The 24,723-nt window shown below is 36.8% G+C and overlaps 1 long non-coding RNA gene across 3 annotated transcripts in view; it reads right to left on the reverse strand.

Annotated features, from left to right (window-relative positions):
- The window catches only part of LINC02542 (long intergenic non-protein coding RNA 2542), a 257,985-nt gene that overhangs the window by 68,827 nt on the left and 164,435 nt on the right, over window positions 1-24,723 (reverse strand). Inside the window, exons 1-2 of one of the 3 annotated variants that reach the window (NR_149136.1) lie at window positions 20,822-20,873; window positions 16,250-16,294 (exon numbers count right to left, since the gene is read on the reverse strand). The exons of 1 other annotated variant lie outside the window; for it this stretch is intronic. This is a non-coding gene — a long non-coding RNA (long intergenic non-protein coding RNA 2542). Of the gene's footprint in view, window positions 1-16,249; window positions 16,295-20,821; window positions 20,874-24,723 lie in introns of those variants that run through there. One more of the 3 variants, NR_149134.1, reaches the window with a different exon arrangement.

Below are 24,723 nucleotides of genomic sequence, written 5' to 3' on the forward strand. Positions count from 1 at the left end.
TGGCTCATGGCTGTGTAAGCACCACACTGAAAGTTGTTATGTATCAGTCTAATAGTCAGTTACTAGTGCTTTGCCATGACCCTGCTCAATTTTTAGAAATGTATTCTTTCGTTTATGACTACAAAGAATATATATTCTTTCTTGAGAATTTGAAAAATCTTAAAAATTATAAGAAAAAATGAAAATCACCCCAAATTCCAACGATAACAATGGGTTTATATCCTTCCAGCCTGTCTCATTTTTTTTTCAATTTCAAAGTGCATGTGTATATATGTATATACAAATGCAGGCACTACCACAAATTGGTTTTGTATTATACACAAACATTTTTAACATGTCATTCACACCAAATATTTTATGGCTGCTCAATGTTCCTCTGAAACATGGTTGCATCGTATGAATTTATTATAATTTAACCAAATTTTACTTTTGTCATTAATATTTTATCATTTTAAATATCAGTGATTAGCATCATTGTACACGTTTGTGTATATTTCTAAAATAATTTTGTTTTTTATGATAAATTTGTGAATTTTCTGGAGAAAACAGAATGTGCATATAATCATGGCTTTTGATACATTATCCTTCTATGTATCCATTTTGCTTAGGAAACTGTTCATTTAACTCAAATCCACAAACTCCAGATATTATCAAAAAGAAGGCTACCACTGTGATAAGTTCAAAATGCTAACGATTCATTACTTTGATTTATGCTTCCTTTCTGACCTGTGAGTTTGAGTATTTTAAAATATTTATCGAACATTTGTTTTTCCTTGTTAAAGGGTTGTCTGTTCGTAAACTTTCCCCATAATTCAATTGGCCTTTATCTATAATTTCAAATTATTTGAAAGAGCTCCTAACAGATTAAGAGTGTGACTCTTTCGCCAGTACATATATTGTAAATATTTTCCCCAGTTGATCACTTTTTATTTTTTTAAATGCTTTGATTTTTGACATTATAAAGACATTTTTCATTTAGCCAAACTTATCCACCTTTTCAAAAGAAAAGAAACAGCAAGACCTGTATAAAACAGGTAACCTAAAATGGTGGCAGAAATAAAACAAATGTACTTTAATTATGACAGAAAATGTAAATTGTTTAAACATTTGTATTAGAAATAATAACTTCAAGTTGACTAAAAAAATTAAATCCAACTTTATGGAAGACAGCCATCAAAATACAATCTATTTAAGGTGAGAGGATAGTTAAAAAAATAAAGCATCAGTTAAGGGCAAATAACATTTGGAATACTGGAGTAAGAAATATCAGAATTCAAGACAAAAATAACAATAGAAGCAGTAAGAAGACCAAGAAACACACCGTGTATCAATTAATGAGAAAACAATCTACAGGAAATATATAATGGTTACAAAACCATGAGTTGAACAGTCAAGATCAAAATACATAAATCAAAAACTTAGAAATTCAAGGAGAACTCAGCAGAAACATAATGTTATTGGAATAACAGAATTTACCACTCAGTCGTTGATAATTCAAATAAGAAAACAAGAAACTAAAGATACAGATCTGAATAAGCTCATTAATAAGTGTAAATAGATAAATATAGCAAACTCTGTAGCAAAAAAAGTACATCTTTTTTTTTAAGCACTCATGTACAACTTACAAAAATATTATCCTACACACAAAGAAAACAAAACATCTAAAAAATAAGTTACACTGTATACAATGTGATCACAAAGCAATAACACTAGAAATTGTTAACAAAGTATAAACAAATAGAAGAAAATGGGTTGGAGTTTTTAAGTACAGTTATTCCTCAAAATTCACAGGATTTTGGTTTCAAGACCTCTCTCCCAATACCAAAACCTCTAATGCTCAAGTCTCTGATATAAAAAGGTATCATATTTGCATATAACCTATGCACATTCTTCTGTTTAAGTCATGTCTAGATTATGAAAAAAAAAACCTAATACAGTGTAAATGCCATGTAAATAGTTACACTATATTGTTTAGGGAATGATGACAAGGAAAAAAGTCTGTACATTTTCAGTACAGACACAATATTTTTTAAATATTTTAGATCTATGGTTGATTGACTCCATGGATGCAGAACCCACAGATATAGAAGGCTGACTGTACACACATTTCATCAACTCATATTAAATAAAAAATTAAAACTTTGTTTACAAATTAGATCCATATTATTGCCAGAGAAAAATCCAAGACTTTTTAATTATTAACAAGGTATGTTAGGCAAAAAGATAAAATTTTAACCTGAATTTGTGCCTCAAATGGCAATTTGCACAAGCATAGAAAGGAGGTTTTTCATGGCCACAGCTCAGTAAGAACCTACGTTGTAAAAAAGTAGGCCAAAAACCAACATAATCTTGTACTATGTTAATAGGCATTAAATGCTCAGATGAATGCCAGGCATGATCTCTAGACTACCATGTATGGTGCCTGATTCCACTCCTCTTGCAAATCTCATCTCGGGAATAGAAAACATCACATGGCTCCAGGTGGGGAGGAATAAGGAAATACTAAAAAGATTGGGCAGAGTAAAGCAATCTTACCTGTTTTCTTTTTTTTTCTTCCCCCCCCCCCTTCCCCCCACTGTCAGGGTCAGGACAGCATAAGACATAGTGGGATGGGACAAGGATGATAAGCATCTGATCCAAAAGCATAAAAAGATGACCAATGCTTTCTTCATCTCTTATTTTCATTTATCAAAGGGATGGCACTATTATGAGCTATGCATTTGGGGTTAGGAGATTATTTTTTTTTAGGAAGCATCATTGACTTTAGGCAGAGAAGACCAATAGGATGGAGCCCTGAGAGAGAATACAAGGAGGAACTGGCTACCTGCTGAAACCTCTTGAACCTGTCTTTCATAGGTGAAATGGTGTGCTCAAGTTTTCTTCTAACTAGTTTCTCACAGTAGAAAAGTTACGAAGGGATTCAGAGTAGAAGCATAATCGAAGAAGGAAGGAAGTTCATTTGGCTAAAATGAGTTCCTTGACAGTGCAGTAGGTAGCAGGATGGCAGACAAATGTAGACAATAAGAATACCCAGGTCACTGGTCAGGCCATGTCTAAGAACTGTATTCAGGGTCGGGTACTACATTTTAAGTAGAGAATGTGATAAATCAGAAAAGCGGGACAAGGAACGATAAAGGGTCTGAAAATCACATCCTACGAGGAAAGGTTGATGTCTAGCTTGCAAAAGAAGGTAAACCGAATTGGGAGCTTCATGTCTATAAGCATATAAGAGGCGTCCACATCTCTAGTCTATCAAATGGGTAAACAAGGAGGAAAATGGTGCCAATTATGGAGTATCCATATTTGCTCCAAATGAGGAACATTATAACAATTATAAAATGAAAGAGTTGACTTATGGAGCTATCGAGAACCCTTATCTGGATGTGTCTAAGCAGAGATTGGTAAAGATTGTCTTGTTTTTTATTCTTTAAAAATCCATGTAATTTTTTTTATTATACTTTAAGTTCTAGGGTACATGTGCACAACGTGCAGGTTTGTTACATATGTATACATGTGCCGTGTTGGTGTGCTGCACCTATTAACTTGTCATTTACATTAGGTATATCTCCTAATGCTATCCCTCCCCCCTCCCCAGGGGAACAGGAAGGGGAACATCAAACACCCCACAAAAGGCCCCGGTGTGTGATGTTCCCCTTCCTGTGTCCAAGTGTTCTCATTGTTCAATTCCCACCTATGAGTGAGAACATGCGGTGTTTGGTTTTTTGTCTTTGTGATAGTTTGCTGAGAATGATGGTTTCCAGCTTCATCCATGTCCCTACAAAGGACATGAACTCATCAATTTTTATGGCTGCATAGTATTCCATGGTGTATATGTGCCACATTTTCTTAATCCAGTCAATCATTGTTGGACATTTGGGTTGGTTCCAAGTCTTTGCTATTGTGAGTAGTGCCACAATAAACATACGTGTGCATGTGTCTTTATAGCAGCATGATTTATATTCCTTTGGGTATATACTCAGTAACGGGATGGCTGGGTCAAACAGTATTTCTAGTTCTAGATCCCTGAGGAATCGCAACACTGTCTTCCACAATGGTTGAACTAGTTTACAGTCCCACCAACAGTGTAAAAGTATTCCTATTTCTCCACATCCTCTCCAGCACCTGTTGTTTCCTGAGTTTTTAATGATCGCCATTCTAACTTGTGTGAGATGATATCTCATTGTGGTTTTGATTTGCATTTCTCTGATGGCCAGTGATGATGAGCATTTTTTCATATGTCTGTTGGCTGCATAAATGTCTTCTTTTAAGAAGTGTCTGTTCATATCCTTTGCCCACTTTTTGATGGGGTTGTTTTTTTCTTGTAAATTTGTTTGAGTTCTTTGTAGATTCTGGATATTAGCCCTTTGTCAGATGAGTAGATTGTAAAAATTTTCTCCCATTCTGTAGGTTGCCTGTTCACTCTGATGGTAGTTTATTTTGCTGTGTCAAAGCTCTTTAGTTTAATTAGATCCCATTTCTCAATTTTGGCTTTTGTTGCCATTGCTTTTGTTGTTTTAGATGTGAAGTCCTTGCCCATGCCTATGTCCTGAATGGTATTGCCTAGGTTTTCTTCTAGGGTTTTTATGGTTTTATAGATTAAACATAATTGAAGCTTTATATTAAAGAGTGAATTGGTGTCATTCTAATATAAACATGTTTATCTCATGTACATTGAAATGTTAGATAATTCATTCATTAACAATAAATTGAGTGAGTCAAAACTTCAAAAAAAATCCATGTAATTTCTCCTCTCTTTCATTTATTCATTCCTTTTACTGGATACCTACTTGGATCAAGCCTATACTAGGTGCTGAGGAGACCAAGAAGAATAAAACACAATCTGACAAGGTACTCTCATCCTCTGAAGAAGATTGGCACAATATAAAAAGGGTGATAGGAAGGGGAACCTACCCAAACTGACAAGGCTTGACTTCAGAAGTAATTCTAGGAGGATGGGTATAGAAAAAATGCACCAGGCCTCAGAATCAGAATCAGTCCACCTACCCTCCCTCCGTAATGTGGCAATGGCACAGGCAGTCCCTGAGGGGCTAAATCCCTGCTACAGGGAGAGTCCCCAGGTCCAGGAGAATATTTTTGAAAGTTTTCAGGCCTGGAATCTTAATCGAGGTCTTCTCTTGAGTCCTGGTAGTATCATCATATAAATAACCAACTTAGGCAATTAAATGCTAATAGCCTTATAAGAAGTTGAAACTGAAACATACTTCTGTAAATGTAATCTACATTTACTATACTAGATACTACACTAGATACTCATACAGTGTATACTCACGTAAGTGGGCTGACTACCATCCAATAACAGCATTGGCATGGGTGCAAATGGGAAAAACAAAGGCCAAATTGATGTTTTACTTTGGAGCAGGATAAGGGAAGTACTCTGACAGACTGTGCCAGCATAAGCCTCATAAAAACAACTGGGAATGTAGAAAAGAAAAGGAAAAAAGTGGACAGAGTGATAAAGAAAGATAATGTTAAGTACATATAACCAGCATCTACTTTGATTCAGTATACTACACTACAGGTTTTTCTCCATAACATTTTCTTGTCAAATATTATTCTCAGGGCAAGATAGTAAGATCAACAATGTGGGTAGTCAGAGTTAAGCCTCATACAGTGAGGACACTCCAATCCTCTGAGTTCTCACTCTCCCTCTTCTATCTCTACTCCCTCTGTCTATCTCTCTCTGTCTCCCTCCCTCTCCTCAGTAGGTAAGTAGATAGATAGATGGATAGATAGATAGATAGATAGATAGATAGATAGATAGACAGACAGACAGATAGATAGATAGATATTGTTCAGTTAGAGTTTGTGGCCTCAAACCTTTATATCACCCTTTGGTCACTATCAAAATGGAAGTTCCTTGGAAAAATAATACTATTCTATCAGACGTCGATACTCTCTTGGGCTGGGGGTACTAACAGGGTACCACTGCACTTCACAGCTTGACTTGAAGGGTGCTGACAAAATACGATGTGAATCTATATGAACTATTGAGCAGGGTCCTGGCCACATAGCAGGTTCTCAATGAAGGCCAGTTTCCTCCTTCCATAACTCTCCCTTTTGCTTCTCTTCTCAATAGGCTTAAAGAATCACATTGCTAGAGTCATAGTAATTCTCCAAGGAAGTGGCCCAGGCTTGGGGTGATGACAAGCACAAACTCCTTATATGATGCTGTTCTTTGCCATAACACATCCATTGTGCCAACACCCTTCTTCTTGTCACATGGTAGGTCTTCAAAAAATGGGAATGCCCCCCTCTTCTCCTTCCTTCAGAAGGAAATGACATTAGTTTCTCTTCCACTTAACTTCATTAAATCCAACTGAACATACATTTAGTGTCTTCTAAATACTACTTGTTATTTAGTCCTGTGATGAGCTCAGCTACCTGAGGTTGCAAAATGCTTAACTGTGGAGTTGTTGGACAACTAATAATTCTGAGAGACTCAAGCCAGGCTAAGTGGGGTTGGCAGGGGGTAGTGGGAGGGTCCTCATAGATTGGTCTTGCTGCACTCCTCACTGTGACCTCACTCTGTCCAGGAAGGACACTGTGAGCTATCCCTCACTCATAGGCATTGTAGGGTCCTGCACATGCTCAGAATATTCATTTGATTTATTACAATTCTAGATATTAATGAAACACAATATTACTGCCTTTGTAGCCTAGATTAACCCAGTTTGCTGAGGCCATGACTAAGTTTATCTGATATCAAGTATTTGGCAATGAGGACATTAAAAATTTAAGTACATCTTTTCCTGTAAGTACGGGGTGTGGCTAAAGCAATAATCCTGCTTTATTTTCAAATAACATAAACATGACTAGCATTTTGACAAATTAGCCTATCATTACAAAATTACCAGCTCAAGAAAAATTATTACAATTCAGGAACCCCTTCCACTGCTATAAACTACTCTCCCAGATATATTTAGATTTGTGCATCACCACACATCTCTCATTTTGTAATAATTTAAAACAATGATGGTGTGATTACAAGAGAGAGAAGCAAGACATATTTCATGATAGCCCAAGATTTTCAAAAACATAAAGATGGTGTACGCTAATTCAACCTTTGGAGAAGTTAAGAGGTGATAGGTACACAAGCAGATGGACTTGGTCCACAAGCAAGATCACAAGCTTCTCTCATGTCATTGAAGGTTTCCAGCCATTTATCCTTACAGAGCATTTTTCCAGGGAGGCAATACAACACAGATGCTGTATCCACAGAGCAACGTATCTGTCCTTGCGAGGGGAACATCATCTTAGTAATTCAAAGACTAACTCTAAATACCTAACATTTACTAAGTCTGTGCCATGTATGTGTTAATATACTGAGTGATTTACATGAATTATCATACATGAGATAGATAATATTATAATGTCTAATTAACAGATGAAGAAATTTAGGTTTAGAAAGTTACTGAAGCAATATTACCTGTAAAAGACAGAGCAGAAATTTGACCCTGGCTTCACTAAACCTAGAGCCACACTCTTATTTGCTGTGCTGGGCTTCCATGAACAGAAGAAACTCTTTCAAGTTGGAAACAGCCAGGGTCGCTATGATCCCCTGAACAACCAATTTCTCTTCTTGTGCTCTAGGCTGAATTGTTTGAATCAAGCAGAATGCAATATGCTCACACATACACACACATATTTTTCACATAGAAAGTCTTCATGAACATACACAGAAAGTAAAGATATTTACTAACAGTAACATCTTTGAAAAAAAATTCTACACCACCACTAGGACTTGACTTAAATGTGAATTACAAGGTAACTGCGATTTCTCATAATTTTAAAAATTCTGGTAATATGTTCTTCCTTCTCAGAAAATATCCCATACTGATGATGGAAAACATATTGTATGAGGTCCATTCTTTGAACATTGCTCTTTTTGTAGTACCCCTCACTTAAAATGCAAATATTACTGGAAGTGTAACTTAGTAAGTCATGAGCAACTTTATGTAAGTAGTTTTATTATAACCCTCAGTTCCCATGAGCCAAGAGGGCATTCAGGGTGCTTAAACACACAATGGACCTCAGCTAAAAAACAAACCAAAACAAAAAATCTGGTAGTCATCTAGGGCTTGTCTCAAAACTAGTGAGCAGGTTCACAGAATGACCAACACGTAAGAGAAGATGGTATGTCTTCTATTGTAGGGGAGAGCTAGAGATCTCTGTTTTATAACATAGCAGTAGCTTTCCTAATAACATTTTAATATCTAAGTTATGTCCAAATGTTATTTGGGCCTCTGGGCATTTTTGAAAACAACATTCTCAGATTCTATGCATAATGATTACCTCGCTTATAATAAAATACCGCAGGATATTTTCTAAAATTTCCTATTGAATAAAAAGGTGGACCTGGACTGCTGTTCCTGGGAAGATGGAGTAGATACACTCTTCCCTCTTCCTTTCACTAAGTACAACTAAAAACCATGGGTAGTCAATAGAAAACAAGCATAATAAGACTTTGAAACTCTGAAGAGTGGAAAGAAGGAGGAAGACTGGCTATGGAAATGAAGACCCAAAAAATAGCACAGTGGTGAGACCACTGGATTTTCTTTTTGTTTCACATATATCCCAGACTAGAAGCTGAAAATATCAACCACCATGAAATGCCAATCAATGGGTGCAGGAGGAAAAAAAAAAAGTTTGCTCTCTCTAGCCAGAGGACCAAAAGAGTTAGCTTAGAAAGAAAGAAAACTTTCTTACACAATGTCTGTTCTACTCCAGCCATTCATCAGAGAAAAAAAATCGTAGCACCACTCTACCTGTGCCAGAGAGGCCAAGTGAGAGCCTAGACTTCCACACTCCTGATGCCATACCAAGGCACCCGAATATCTCCACCAGGGTGGAGTCAGAGAGGGTTAAATATGAAGCTGGGCTTTCATCCCCCAAGCAGGTAATGAGCTCCCAAGCCCACACAGTCCATGGAGACCAAGCGTAAAGCCTGGACTGCCACTCCCACCTAGTAGTAATGAATTGGTCCTTTCTCCACTGGGATGGTGTCAGAGGAGGCATAAGAGGGGAGTCAGTCCTTTCACCATTGTCCAGTGCTAACAAGGCCACCAACACCATGGGGATTGGCAACTTCCATCTCCCTCTGGCAATAATGAGGACCCCAGTATCAATAGAGGATGAAAGGAAAGCCTGAACTTCTACTCTACCTGACGATAATGAAGCATGATCTCTCTGTTGGAGCAGTGTCTGATAAAAAAAAAAAAAAAAGAAAAAACAGCTAAAACAGAAGATTTATGCTGTAAGACTGAGAGTCTTATAATGGAATTCTGAAAATGTCCAGACTTCAATAAAAAAATCACTCACTCTACAAATAACCAAGAAGTTCTCAAATTAAAAAAGACAATCAGTAGACTCCACCACCAAGAAGACAGAGATGTTAGAATTTCCTGACAAAGATTTTAAAGTGGCTTTTATGAAAATACTCCAATAATCAATTACAAATGTGTTTCAAACAAATGATAAATTAGAAAGCCTAGGCAAAGAAATAGAAGAGATAAAGAAAAATCAAATGTAAAAGAAATAAAAAGAAATAACTGAAATAAAAATTTAAGCAGATGGACTTAAAAATCAGAATGGAGAGGACAGAGAAAATAAACAGAGAACCAGTGGATAGGAAGATAAAGCAATAGAAATTACCCACTATGAAATATAAAAAAAAAACTACACTGATAAAATAAACAGTCTCAGGAGCTTGTGGAACTACAACATAATATCTACATTTGTGTCACTGGAATTATGGAGGGAGAGGAGAAAGAAAGTGGTGCTGAAAAGAACTTGAAATAATAATGGCTGAAAAGTTCTCAATTCGACAAGAGGCATAAACCTACAAATTCACAAAGCTTAGCAAGCCATAAACAGAATAAAGCCAAAAAATTTACTCTAATACACGCAATAATTAAACTTTTGAAAACCAAAGATAAAGAAAAAATCTTGAAACAGTCTGAGAAAAACAACACTTTATCTATGGAGAAAATAATTAAAATGACAATGAATTTTTCATGAGAAACCACAGAGGCCAGCAAAGGTGGCACAACATATAAAAAGTGCTGAAAGAAAATCATCATCAATCTAGCATCCCATAACCAGCAAAAATATCTTTCAGGCATGAAGGGGAACTCAAGACATTTTCAGATTAAAAAAACCTGAGAGTTTGTTATCATCAGATCTACCATAAAATTATAGTTAAATGTTTGCCTAAACAGAAAGGAAACACTAAAAGAAAGAACCTTGGAACATAAATGAATGTAGAGAAAATATTAATAGTTAAGACAATTATATTATAAATGGGGGAGGATAAAGGGATTTAAAAGGAGGTAAGATTTCTATACTTCACCCGAACTGGTAAAATGACAGTATCAGTAGATTGTAATGTTATGAATATATATATATTATATATATATAAATATAATATATATATATATATTTAATATATATAATATATTAAATATATATATTTAATATAATATATATATAATATATATATATAATGAAATAGCTAGAGTTAAAAGAAGAGTTTTTTAAGTTATACCAAGAGATACATTCAAAAACACTATAAACAAATAAAAATAAAATTATAAAGAGTGCTCAAGTAACCCACAGAAAGGTAGGAAAAAGAAAACATAAATGAAAAACAGAACAAACGAAAAATAAAACCAAAATGACACAGTTAAGTTATAACATATCAATAATTATTTTAAATATAAATGTACTAGTTAAAGGATAAAAGAAACTGAACTTATAATTCAAAAATTTCCCCCCAAAATCTCTAGGCCCAGATGTTTTTACTGGAGAATTCTACCAAACTTATGTACAAGAATTAAAACCAATTTTACACAACCTCTTCTAGAAAATAGAAAATAAAGGAACACTTCCCAGTTCATGTTATGAGGTTAGTGTTATCTTGATACCAAAAACCATACAAAGATAATACGCAGTTTAAAAAAAGAGCAATATTGCTTATGAATATATGTGCAAAAATACTTTACAAAATATTAGCAAAAAAAGTCAGTAACATATAAAAAGAATTACATACTTTGACCAAGTGGCATTTATTCCAGGGATGAAAGTCTAGCTCAATATTTAAAAATCAATCACTGTAATCCATCATAAGAGGCTAAGAAAAAAACATTGCATAATTGTACCAACTTGACAAAAGTCCATACCCATTTATAATAAAAAGTCTCAGAAAAATTAGAATAGAGGGGAAGTTTCATCAGCTTCAGAGCATCTACAAAAAATCAATAGCTAATACTATACTTAATAGTAAAAGACTGAATGCTTTCCCCCTACTATCAAGAAAAGGATGTATACTCTCACTACGCTTATTTCAACATAACACTGGAAGTTCCAGTCAATGCAATAAGATAAGAAAAAGAAATAAAAGTCATACATGTGAAGAAGGAAGAAATAACACTGTCTTTATTTGAACATAACATCTTGATCTATATTGAAAATCTTAAGGAATTCACAAAAAGACTACAAGAACTAATAAGTGAGTCCAGTGAGGTCACAGGATACAAGGTAAACATATAAAAATCAATTGTATGTCCATATACTGGCAAAGGACATATAGACACCTAAATTAAAAGCACAATACCATTTACAATTGCTCAAAAAAAAGAAATAGGTATAAATCTAACAATACATGTACAGTATTGATATGCTGAAAACTAAACAACAATAATAAAAGAAATTAAAGAAGATTTCAATACATGGAGAAATATACCATGCTCATAGATCAGAAAACTGAACATAGTCAAGATGGCAATTCTCTCCAAAACTGATAGATGGTTAATATCATTCCTTTCAAAATTCCAGTAATATTTTTATAGATATGGACAAAAGAATTCTAGAATTTATGTGGAAAGGCATTGGCACTAACACAGCTAAAATAACTTTGAAAAATAAGACAAAGTGGGAGGAACCAGTCTACCTGATTTCAAGACTTAACAGCCACAGTAGTCAATCCTATTGTATTTGTGTAGGGCTAGACATACAGATCATTAAAACAGAACCTAGAAATAGACCTATACAAATATTTCTAGCTTCTATTTAATGAAGTTACAAAAACACTTCAAAAGAGGAAAGGTAGCCTTATTGATAAATGGTATCAGGCAATTGGGCATCCATAGACAACAAGAAGACAAGGAGTCAGCGAAGTGGAGAAGGAGGAGGTGGAAGGAGAAGAAGGAAGAGGAGGAGATCAACTTAGACTTAAGTCTGATACCTTAATAAAAATTAAATAAAATTGAATCACAGTCTTCACTATAAAGCATAAAACTATAAAATGTTTAGAAAAAAATTAGGAGAAAATTTTCAGGATCTACTTCTGAGCAAATAATTCTTAGACTTGAAACCAAAAGCACATAAAAGGAAATTGGTAAATTGAACTTCATCAAAATTACACATTTTTGCTTCACATAAGACTCTGTTAAGAGACTGAAAAGACATGCTACAGACTGGGAAAAAATAATTGCACATCATATATCTGACAAGGAACTAGTATCTAAAAGATACGTTAACTTAAAAAAAACTCTGAAAACCCAGCAACAAAAAATATCATTATAAGATGGGCAAAAGACACGAAAAGACATTTTATTGAGGAGGATATGTAGATGGCAGATAAGCACATGAAAAAATGTTCAATATCAATAACCAGTAGAGAAATACAAATAAAAACCACAATGAGCTATCACTGCACACCTATCAGAATGGCTTACATGAAAAAATAGTGACAACACCAAATGTTGGCAAGGATACAGAGAAACTGGACAGATCAGCTGTTGGGGATTTAAACTGCTATGGCTGCTCTACAAAACATTTTGGCAGTTTCTTTAAAAATTAAACATGCAATTACCATGTGGCCTAGAGATTGTACTCCTGGGCACATTTTTTACACCAGAGAAACAGAGTTATGTTCACACCAAAATCCTGTATCCAAATTTTTATAGTGGCTTTATTCATAATAGCCTAAACCTGGAAAAAACCCAAATACCCTTCAACAGGTGAATGATGAAACAAATTTCAGTGCATCTATACCATAGAATACTACTCAGCAATAAAAAACAAACAAGTATATTTTCCATGCAGAAAAATATGGATGAATCTCCAGTGAATTAACGCTGAGTGAAAAAGTCCAGTCAGAGAAAGTTACATATTGCATGGTTCCATTTTTGCAACATGCTTGAAATGACAAAATTATAGAAATGGAGAACAGATTAGTCTTTGCCAGGGGTTAAGGAGAAGAGGCGGCCAGGTAGGAAATGGCTGTGGCTATAACTGGCAACATAAGAGATCCTTGTAGTGATGGAAATGTTATATTTCTTGACTCTATCAATGTCAATAGCTTGGTTGTAAAATGTGCTCTAGTGCTGCAAAATATTAACATCGTGGGACACTGGGAAATGAATACATGCGATGTTTCTGAACTCTTTATTACTTCTTCTTCCTTTTTTTTTTTTTTTGTTTGTTTGTTTGATTTTTTCAGTAGAGATGGTGGAGGTGGAGGGTTCCAGGGTGATCTTGAACTCCTGGCTTCAAGGGATCCTCCCACCTCAGCCTCCCAAAGTGCTGAGCCACCGCGCCTGGCCTATTTCTTACCATTGCATGTGTATTTACAATTTTCTCAAAAGAAAAAGTTGAATTAAGAGATAATACTCAGAAGCCATCCAAAACAAAATAAATACAGGTTCTTAACAATATATACATGTTAAGTTGTATCTATATGTTATTTGACATCCTCTACCAGATGTTTGGAAACTGAGAAATTTGATCATGGAGATTAAATAATTTATATTATTTTTCTTTTTACAAAATACCTGGAACAGGGATGGCAAATAGATTAAATTTGATACATTATTTGATGGGAAAGGGTGCTATAAGGGAAGAGGAATGTCTGTTATGAGCCCTGTATTGGGGGATGTTGTGGCCTGTGTACCACCTAATTGCCATTCCTGCCTTGGAGTTTTAACCTAAAGCCTTGTCAGTAGGATCTCTGATAGCTTGGGAATTCCTGAGACTAGGACTTTCCAAAATAGCACCCATTTTAGTTTCACTCAAATGCTAGCATTTAAAAGCTGCTAAATCTCCTGGGTTGTCACTCTGGATATGCCATGCGAAATGGCTGGGCTACAAAGTTGGCTGTTTAGCTGATGTTCCACAATTATCATTTGCTGCCCCACAAACACATTATGCAGTTCATTGCTCAGGAAAATTTTCTCTTTGTTTGAGTTACAGGGATTAAACGTATTACCCCTTAATCCCTTTGATGCATCCAGGCCATTTTAAAATTGAATGTTTTTCTATTAACTCTCCTACTGGGAACCAATTCACTGACACTGTAGCAACAGAGCCAGGCAATCCTGATTAATTACAGAATTTTTGCCCTTCTGCTCCGTGAGTCTCTCTGAAATATCTAATAACAAAAGCACTTAAATAAATCTATGGGGTTAATCAATGTTTCATGTAATTTGTAATAAGAAACTTCAAAGCCTTTCAAATAAATAGTGAGAGAGAGATGAGAACTAGCAGATTAAAGGAACAAGTGTTTAAGAATTCGTATGTATTAAAGGCTCAAGCCATGTCAATTCTCAAACTAACCAAAAAACTAATTCATGTTAGAAAATCAGCACACACTTTGTTTGTTACAATTCTTGAAATGGAGAACATGAGTTTATAAATTAAATTATACATTCAATTCAGAGGCTGTAATGCTGCTATCAAATTTATGGCCTCCAATTTACAGAGATCAAGACATAATAAACAATCAGGGAGGGAGGCTCTCTGGTCATCAGATCTGCTTTAAGTAGATGGGTTGGACTGAACATTCTCCATATGGTAACCACAGGGATGAATGAGGGCTTCTATTTTTGTTACTGGTGACTGTGAAGAAAGGTATATCAGAAAGACCTGTCTGATGTAGAAAAATGAATATTATACTTCACTTTTTGTGCCACAGAAAATGGAAGAGATCAGTGCAGGTGAAGATTTAAGCATCTCAATTGTAGATTAGCACGTATTGAGAAATTAATCTGCCCACTGAATAATACAAGAAAAAATTGTGACCCCAGAAGAATTAGCATCACAGGAAGATCACAGAATGAAACACATTTTGATTCTGAAAAAAAAAAACTTGCGCAAACTTAAAATTCACAACCTATTTCAAGATATTTCTCATCGGCAACCTTATAACTATGTAGCATAAAATTTATTTTATACATCAACAAGGATCAGTTTCACTCATGATTATTTTTCATTAACTGATTTTCTTACACTCTAATATTGTATTTATTTCCTGAGGCCTATTATGTAGACTTATTCCAAAGAAGAACAACAGTGCTGAGGAGTTGTTCATAGTTGCTTAAGGACAAAGCACTGTGCTAAATATTGTGGAATTATTATATGGTGCCCCACACACAGAATCCCTGGAAATTAATTTAGACAGGCAAGAATTGGTTTGATTTTCATGTGTGCAATGAGACAAGCCTTTTTGAAATTTGAAAGATAAAATTCCTTTCAAAGATGCCACTTGTCAGCCTAATAAGAAAATCATCTGTACTTTTTCCTACATATTTTCCTGAGTATTAAACTTTTTAATCAAGGCCATGTGAGCATTGAAGTATTATAAAGCTCATTTGTTTTACTTAGGAAAGTCTATTCATCTGGGATATCACACACTATTCACAGTTTTTCCATTTTTATTTTCTAATTAATATTTTCTTCCTCTTTCTATATTTGCTGTTTACATTTTTGTAATTTGACACTAATCATTGCACCAGTATTGTGGGCTCCTATGTCTGCATACGTCATCATGCTGGAGGCTGGAAGAGATACACAGTTGTGAGTCCAAGTTTTGGCCTTCAAGGTGGCATGCGTTCCAGTCAAAGAAAAAGACCCACACACCAGACACAAAAGGGATCATGACCGGGGCCTTGCTGCTCAAAAGGTGTTTCTCAGACCAGCATGCTCCCTTGGAGTTTGTGAGAAATGCAGTCTAAGTCCTATTGAATCAGAAGACGCATGTTAACAAAATCCCCACACAGTTCATATTCCCAGTACAATATGAGGATTGGGCAACGGGCTTGGTGTGGAAGGGGAACTGAGTATGGAAATAAGAAGCCTAAAAATTCCACACAGTACCGCTGGCAGAACAATTTGGAGGACATGGTTCACAGTCATTTCCTAGGTATAGTTATATTTGGATTTTGAACCTTACCTGGTCTGAGGACAGTTGAGCAAAGGTACATGGATGGGGATCCATCTAAAATAAATAATTTAAAGGCTTGAAGAAATCTCTCAAATTAAAGGATGCTCATTTCTGTTTGTATTCTTGTACATCAGATTTTTGTAATACAGAATTCTCCTGACATCACTAACTCGTAAGTAAAAATAAGATCAGATTTGCTTTGATATTCAAGTTACATAGATTTCTAGATCCCATATGATCAGAGTAGCAACAAATGCAGTTATCCACCAATCCAACCTCCAACACCTTACTTCTTTAAAATTTTTTATTGTGGTAAAATACAGATTTTACCTATATTCAATGGCATTAAGTACCTTCATATTGTTTCCAATCATCACCACTGCCTATTTCAAGAACTTCATCATCACAAACAGAATCTCTCTTACCCATTAAACAATAATTCCCTATTCCGTTCTGCCCCTAGTTCCAGGTAACCACCACTCTACTTTCTGTCCTTATGAATTTGACTACTCTAGGTACCTTACATAAGTGGAATAATACAGTATTTGTTCTTTTGTGATAGTTCACATGGCATAATGTCCTTTTGGTTTGTTCATGCTATAGCATGTATCAGAATTTTATTCCTTTTTAAGGCCAAATAATATTCCATTGTATGTACATATGACATTTTTTAAACGTTTATTTTAGGTTCAGGTACATGTGAAGGTTTGTTATAGGTAAACTAGTGTCACAGGGGTTTGTTGTACAAATTATTTCATCAACCAGGTATTAAGCCCAGAACCACATAGTTATCTTTTCTGCTCCTCTCCTTCTTCCCACCCTCCACCCTAAAGTAAACCCCAGTGTTTGCTATTCCCTTCTTTGTGTTCATAAGTTCTCATCATTTACATACCACATTTTTATCCATTAATCTGCTGATGGACATTTGGGTTGTCTGTAGCTTTTGGCTGTTATGAATAGTGCTGCATAAAACCTTACCTTTTCATGTTACTGAGTGTAAAGCTATTGAGAGCTACCTCTGCATCGTTCTGAAGCTGAGCAATCTTGGCAGCTTTCACAGAAGCTGTCATCATGTGCATGATGGAGCTATTGGGGGCAGAATGCCCTATTTCACTTCATTTTTGCTGAAGTGCAGATTGACTGCCAAAACCAAGACAATCTAATCCAAGTTCTACTCACTAGTGTGTTGAAACCTTACCAAGACACAGAATTCCTGTGGGAAGCAGGACATACCCTCCCCCAGCAGTAAGCTTACACTCAAAATTAGCCCGGCTGCCAAGTGTACAGTGCTGAGTGTTAGCCATTGCCGGTCACTCAGAAGCAGCCACTTCCTCCAAAGCATGTGGTGGCACCCTAGAAGTGGGTAAGAGGAGATGCCAGTACCACTCTGAACATCCCAGAGCCAGTCGCCACTCTCACAACCCACATCCTGGGTGCATTCTACAAAGCTAGTATGGATCCATTTCCCTCCAGCTTTCCTGGACTATTGCTTGGTGACTAATTTCAGAGCAGCTCTTTAGTCTTTTCTTGCCATCTCACCTTAATAGAGGTTACTGCCAGTCCTTTGGATGTGTTTTTAAAACTGAAACACAAAGTGGAAGAACTGGGACCTGAAGAGTTTCACCGCACAAGCTCCTGTGTAGCAAGTACTTTTCCAGAATTTGTATCTTGTAATCTCCAATCTCTTTAGGGCACTGAGTTTCACAGAGGGGTATGGGAACTCTATCCATCCATAGAGCTGGATCCAGGCCTGGCTCAATTTAGTCTCATTATATGCTCTCCCTGAACTGGAGTATCAGCTTTACATGCAATACATCCAGGTGGTTCTTCTCAGACTAAAGGAATCTACCCAAAGGAGAATGATCAGCTAGCTCATCTTTGAGGCACCAGAAAGTACAGCTTATTTTAAAAGACTTTCCAGCCTATAAGAGGATTTAAATTTGATTTATTCTGAGTATTCTGTTACACATATGTGCACTTATGTTTCTGAGTACTCTGTTGTACATCTGTGCACTTACGGCCCTGATGGGACAAGACCAGTACAACTCTAATTAAATCAAAGAGTAGCCTCTGAAGGAAAAACTCACCCTGCGGGAAAGGAGAATCAGGCAAATAAACTTGACCCAACTAAACTTCAGGTATCTGAGGTTCACTCACTTCTTAGCGCTACATGGTGTCTATCTCTTAGGTCTGACATCACACACAAACAGCTAGGTGCTAGGGAGCAGAGGTGTTTTGAGAAAACCTAGAAGGACTCCCTTCACTCTGTAAAGCAGTGGAGCTTAGAAAATGCTCTGGTGATGCCTATGTGCCAGCCAGTGACACAAAAGTGGCTGTTGGAGGTGGTGATTACTCCATTTCTGTGAGGAAGATAGCACAGCTTTGGTACCTGGATGACTTAAGCACATTCAGGCCCAAACACACAGGCTGCAGTATCCAGAGGAAATGTGGGGGCAGAAGTAATGTGTCTGGCAGGGAAGTGGCACTGGTGTATCTTGGAGTGGTTTCAGCATCTGCATAGGTATGGATGTCCCAAAGAGATGCTGATGTCAACTGACAGAGGCCTTACATTTAGAAAAGGAAGCTTATGGTGCTCGCTTCGGCAGCACATATACTGGAAAAGGAAGCTTATGGAGGGACCGGAAGGAGGCTATTTCATCCAGCTTTGTTTGACATGACCTTTGCTTAAGGGCACCAGGGCAGGAAAGTAGAAAGTGACATATGCTATAGTGTGTCATATAGGATCTATGTCTAAGCCCTTGTGAGACACTCTGGGGGACTCCTAGGAAAACCTAAAGGGAGACCCTCAATGGGAGTGAGGTTAAATTCTAACTCACACTATCCAAAGGCTCCCATTACTTTTACCATGGATTTCCTTGGACTCAGAACACACACGATCCCTTAAAATAATACACATAAGAAAGCTGAACCTGGATCCCTTTCTTACACCTTACACAAAAATCAACTCAAGATGGATTAAAGACTTAAATGTAAGACCTAATACCATAAAAACCCTAGAAGAAAACCTAGGCAATACCATTCAGGACATAGGCATGGGCAAAGACTTCATGACTAAAACAACAAAAGCAATGGCAACAAAAGCCAAAATTGACAAATGGGATACAATTAAACTAAAGAGCTTCTGCACAGCAAAATAAACTATCATCAGAGTGAACAGGCAACCTACAGATTGGGAGAAAAATTTTGCAATTTATCCATCTGACAAAGGGCTAATATCCAGAATCTACAAAGAACTTAAACAAATTTACAAGAAAAAAAAACCCCAACAAAAACTGGGCAAAGGATATGAACAGACACTTCTCAAAAGAAGACATTTATGCAGGCAAAAAACATATGAAAAAAAGCTCATCATCACTGTCATTAGAGAAATGCAAATCAAAACCACAATGAGGTATCATCTCGTGCCAGTTAGAATGGCAATCATTAAAAAGCCAGGAAACAACAGATGCTGGAGAGGACATGGAGAAATAGGAACGCTTTTACACTGTTGGTGGGAGTGTAAATTAGTTCAATCATTGTGGAAGATAGTGTGGTGATTCTTCAAGGATCTAGAACTAGAAATACCATTTAACCCAGCAACCCCATTACTGCATATATACCCAAAGGATTAAAAATCATTCTACTATAAAAACACATGCACATGTATGTTTATTGCAGCCCTGTTCATGATAGCAAAGTCTTGGAACCAACCCAAATGCCTATCAATGATAGACTGGATAAAGAAAATGTGGCACATATACATCATGGAATACTACACAGCCATAAAAAATGATGAGTTCATGTCCTTTGCAGGGACATGGATGAAACTGGAAACCATCATTCTTAGCAAAGTAACACAAGAAGAGAAAACCAAACACAGCATGTTCTCACTCATAAGTGGGAGCTGAACAATGAGAACACATGGACACAGGGAAGGGAACATCACACACTGGGGCCTGTCAGGGGATGGGGGGCTAGGGGAGGGATAGCATTAGGAGAAATACCTAATGCAAATGATGAGTTGATGGGTGCAGCAAACCAACAAGGCACATGTATACTTAGGTAACAAACCTGCATATTGCACATATGTACCCCAGAGCTTAAAGTATAATTTAAAAATAATAATAATAATAAAAATACACATATATTCAAATTTAAGAATGCTTCTTTAGGATGAGCAAATGATTAGGTTTTCCCTTCTTACCTCATTTCCTAAATAGGACTTGTTTTTAACTATGCTGTTTGTTATGTTTTTAAGAGTGAGGAACATTGAACGATTCACTGCTTTGAAATCTTTACTATATCTCCCCATGATGTATAGTGGTAGGTCACAACTTCAAGGACAATGAGGTGGATGGACAGGTAACTATGTGTGAATGTGTGATATGATGGTTACAAGACCACAGAGAGTGGCTGGAGAGAGCACTGGCCCTGTCTAAAGGCATGCTGCTTCATTGAAAACAAAACAAAAACCAAAAACCCTTCACCACACAAAACATGTCCATGGGCCACATTAAGCCAAGAGGCTACCTGGATTGTCATTATATCATTGTTGTAACTCTCACCACATAGATAGTTTACCTCTAGCTCAGGCTGAGATCAACTCTGTCTTTCATGGTTGACATGGATGAAAACGAACGGAAGCATATCATAGTATCACTCCAATTATCCTTGGAGCTGGCCAAAAGAAGGGACCCTACTGCTTCATCTTTGTATTCTGTTTACCAGTTCAGTTTGCAAATAATCAGCATTGTGATCTCATGGGGAAACTATGTCAGATAAAAGAGAATGATAATACCAAACAACTATTGGGAGCTCATTTCTTGCCAGGCCCTGTACTAGGAATTTTCCTTATCCTGTTTCATTTACTCTTCCTAACTAACCTATTGCATAAGAACTATCATTATCGCAATTTTATGGATGAGAGAGCTGAACACAATAGGTGAAGCAGAAATTTGGTGACTGCAAAGTCTATGATTGTAACCAAAATATATATATTTATATAAAGCAAGTGTGAGTCAGTGGTTCAAGGATTGTGCAATAGGCTAGAAGGAAAGATATTGAATGTAGGTAATATTTAACAGGGAATTACTGTTTCCAACAATAGACCTTAGCAGCATTAGCAAGAGGAAGAGCAGTGGACCCAGGAGAGCTTGGAGAGGGGCTCAGTGGTGGGAGACTGAGGTTAGGGTTAGGGTTGAAGTGCAATCTGACAGAAGGGTGGGTGGAGACAGTGTTGAGTCTGAGCTTCTCCTCCCCCACAATTTCTCTTTCTTCATCCCCCCTCTACCCTTCATCTGTCCACTTACACAAATTCCAACTAAGAAGAGATAACCGAAACTTAGAAAAACACTGTATTTCATATATTTGAAGCATACGTGATTTCTCTCTACATCTCCCACCCTCCCCTTGGGTGTCTGGCCTCTGTTAAGTTAGGAAAACAGAAAAATGTAAACTTTAGTGATGTGGAGAAAAGGACAGACTCTTCCCCTTCATACCGCACCACAGTTGTATTCTAAGGTCTAGGTTAGGTGTGTTACGGATGTTTCTCTCTGAGGGAGGGGCCTGAAGAGATCAGAGACAATGAACTCCAACCCCTACAGAAGCCTTGAGAGGCAGAGCAAAGTGCTCGCTGTTCTGTCCCTTCTGGTCTCTGGACTCTGTTTAGGAGTCACTTCTAGTACTAATATTTCTGTCAATGAAGAGACTCTCCCCATACTTCCTGATGTCACCCTGTGATGGCTAATTGTTTGTTTGTTTGTTTGTTTTAAGATGGAGTCTGACTCTGTCTCCAGGCTGGAGTGCAGTGACATGATCTCGACTCATTGCAACCTCTGCCTCCCGGGTTCAAGCGATTCTCCTGCCTCAGTCTCACAAGTAGTTGGAACTACAGGTGCACACTACCATGAGCAGCTAATTTTTGTATTTTTAGTAGAAATGGGGTTTCACCATGTTGGTCAGGATGGTCTCGATATTTTGACTTTGTGATCTGCTCGCCTTGGCTTCCCAAAGTGCTGGGATTACAGGTGTGAGCCACTGCGCCCGGCCGTGATGGTTAATTTTATGTCGACTTGGCTAGACAATATACCCAGATATTTGCTCAAGCATTATTCTAGATGTTTCTATGAAGATATTCTTAGATGAGAGTAACTTTTAAATCAGTTGACTTTGAGTAAAACAGATTACACCTCATGATGTGAGTAGGTCTCATCTAGTCAGCTGAAGGCCTTTAAAACAAAAAGCCTGACCTCCTCAGAGGAAGAGGGAATACTGCCAGGAGACTGCTTTGGACTCAAATTGCAGCTCTTCCCTGGGTCTCCAGCCTGCCAAACTACCCTGCAGATTTTGGATTTGCCAACCTCAACAGTCACATGGGCTATTTCCCTAAAATAAATCTTTCTTTCTGTATATATACACATCCTATCAGTTCTGTTTTGTCGGAGAACTTTATTGAATCTACACCCTACTTCACCAATTCTAAGATGTATATTTTTTCACACTTCTCTAAAATCATAAGATATTTTAAATTGACATTGTTTCCAGTGAAATATGATTGTTCCCAGTATTTGACAGAGTATTCGCCATTCCCTCAACTAGATATTACTTTGGAAATGCAAACTAATAGTTTGCTATATTGAGCTGAGTGACTGTAGTGTAACCACCATCCATGATTTGTATAGCCATGCCATGACTTTTCTCCAAGGATTTCAAAGTTCTATGCAGTTTTAAATAATTATTTTCCATAAGCCTGTCATCTAATTGCCATCTGTAAGCTCTGAAAAAAATATTTTTCCAGGGGATGCAAAACATGAACACTATGAGGGAGACAGAGCTTCAAAGCAATGCTTTGAAAGGGAAGGATAGGAAAATGGAATGGAATATATTTGTCCTCAGTTAAGCCTCATTGTACTACTTAAGCCCCACTTTCCTTTCCATACAGGATTATAGCATTCTAACCACCAACTGTACCTTCTTTATTCTGTTGAAAGAGGCAGTTTGTTTTTCTACCTGGTATATTTTCAAAAGAACTGGATAATTGGCCAATACCATAACAGTTTTTTGATATATCACTGTCTTGCATAAAACTAAGACTCAAAGGTAACAGTACGTCTTAAGTATGTGTGTATGTCAGCATCTCAGTACTTAGTATGTGCACAAAGTAGACATGGATAGTTGTGAATACATGCATGTCACTGAATAACCAGACAACAATGTGAAATGCTGGCAAATGTCCAGGCTTTTTTTTTTTTCTTTTTTGAGACAGGGTCTTGTTCTGTAGCCCAGGTTAGAGTGCTCATTGCAGCTCAACCTCCCAGGCTCAAACAATACTCCTACCTTAGCTTCTCGAGTAGCTGAGATTACAAGTGTGTACTACCATGCCTGGCTAATTTTTAATTTTTTTCTAGAGACAGGGTCTTGCTATGCTGCCCAGGCTGGTCTCAAACTCCTGAGCTCAAGTGAGCCTCCCGCCTTGGCCTCCCAAAGTGCTGGGATTACAAGCATGAACTACTGTACTCAGCCAGATGTCCAGGCATTTAAGGAAGCCCTTCAAATCTACATACTCAAAATCATCAAATAAGTGACTATTTGCCCCCCTTTTATTTATTTATGTATTACATCTTCCCTTATATTCTAGGTGCATGTGTGTGTATGTGTGTGATTGAGTAAGTCAGAGACAGAGAGAAGTTGAGCGAATGAGAGACAGAGATTGTCTCTTCTGGGTTGTGAATATTTTGAAGGTGGCTTCATCAAAATACCATAGGTTTAGTGCCACCATTTTGAATACTGCTTCTGCCACATATAGGCAATGTGACTTTGGAATAATTACTTAACTTTTCTCATCTTCAGTTTTTGTACTTAGAAAATAAACATAATACCTGCGTTGAAGAGTTTAGTGAGGCTTAAAAATAATTTTTGAAAGAAACAGGCGAAATTTTAGATCTCATCCCATGTCTCTCTCCTGCTGTAGCCCTAGGCACAGCGCCTTGTACTTGGAAGGTACTGTCATGTTTTTTGAATGAATCGCCAAGTGTCTTGACAAAAAACACACACTATTTTTGGCTTTCTATAAAACATGCAATAAATTTTATGGCCTGACTCTTTTGAGTACAAAGTAAAGAACCATTCATGATATGATCCCGTTTTACCCCAAATGTTTAATATTTTCAACCAGAGTCATCAAATCCAATGTATTACTTATGTTCTAGCCTCACTGTCCTATATAAATATCATCTTCATTTAGATGAAAACGACAACCATAAAACAAACAATACTGCAGATATTTCAGTTAAACCATGGAACTTACTTCAAGTTTATGGTATTACTAGTTTGAATTTTTCACAGAAGAAACCAAGATAGTCATTTCTAGTTTTTAAGAGATAAAAAAAATCACAAAACAGACATCTTCATGTCAACATTATTTCCCCTTTTGTTACTTTCTTTCCTTTCTTTTTCCACTGTCTTCTCCCCTACCCACCATCTGT

Source organism: Homo sapiens, chromosome 6 (assembly GCF_000001405.40).
Source record: "Homo sapiens chromosome 6, GRCh38.p14 Primary Assembly".
Classification (NCBI taxonomy): Eukaryota; Metazoa; Chordata; class Mammalia; order Primates; family Hominidae; genus Homo; species Homo sapiens.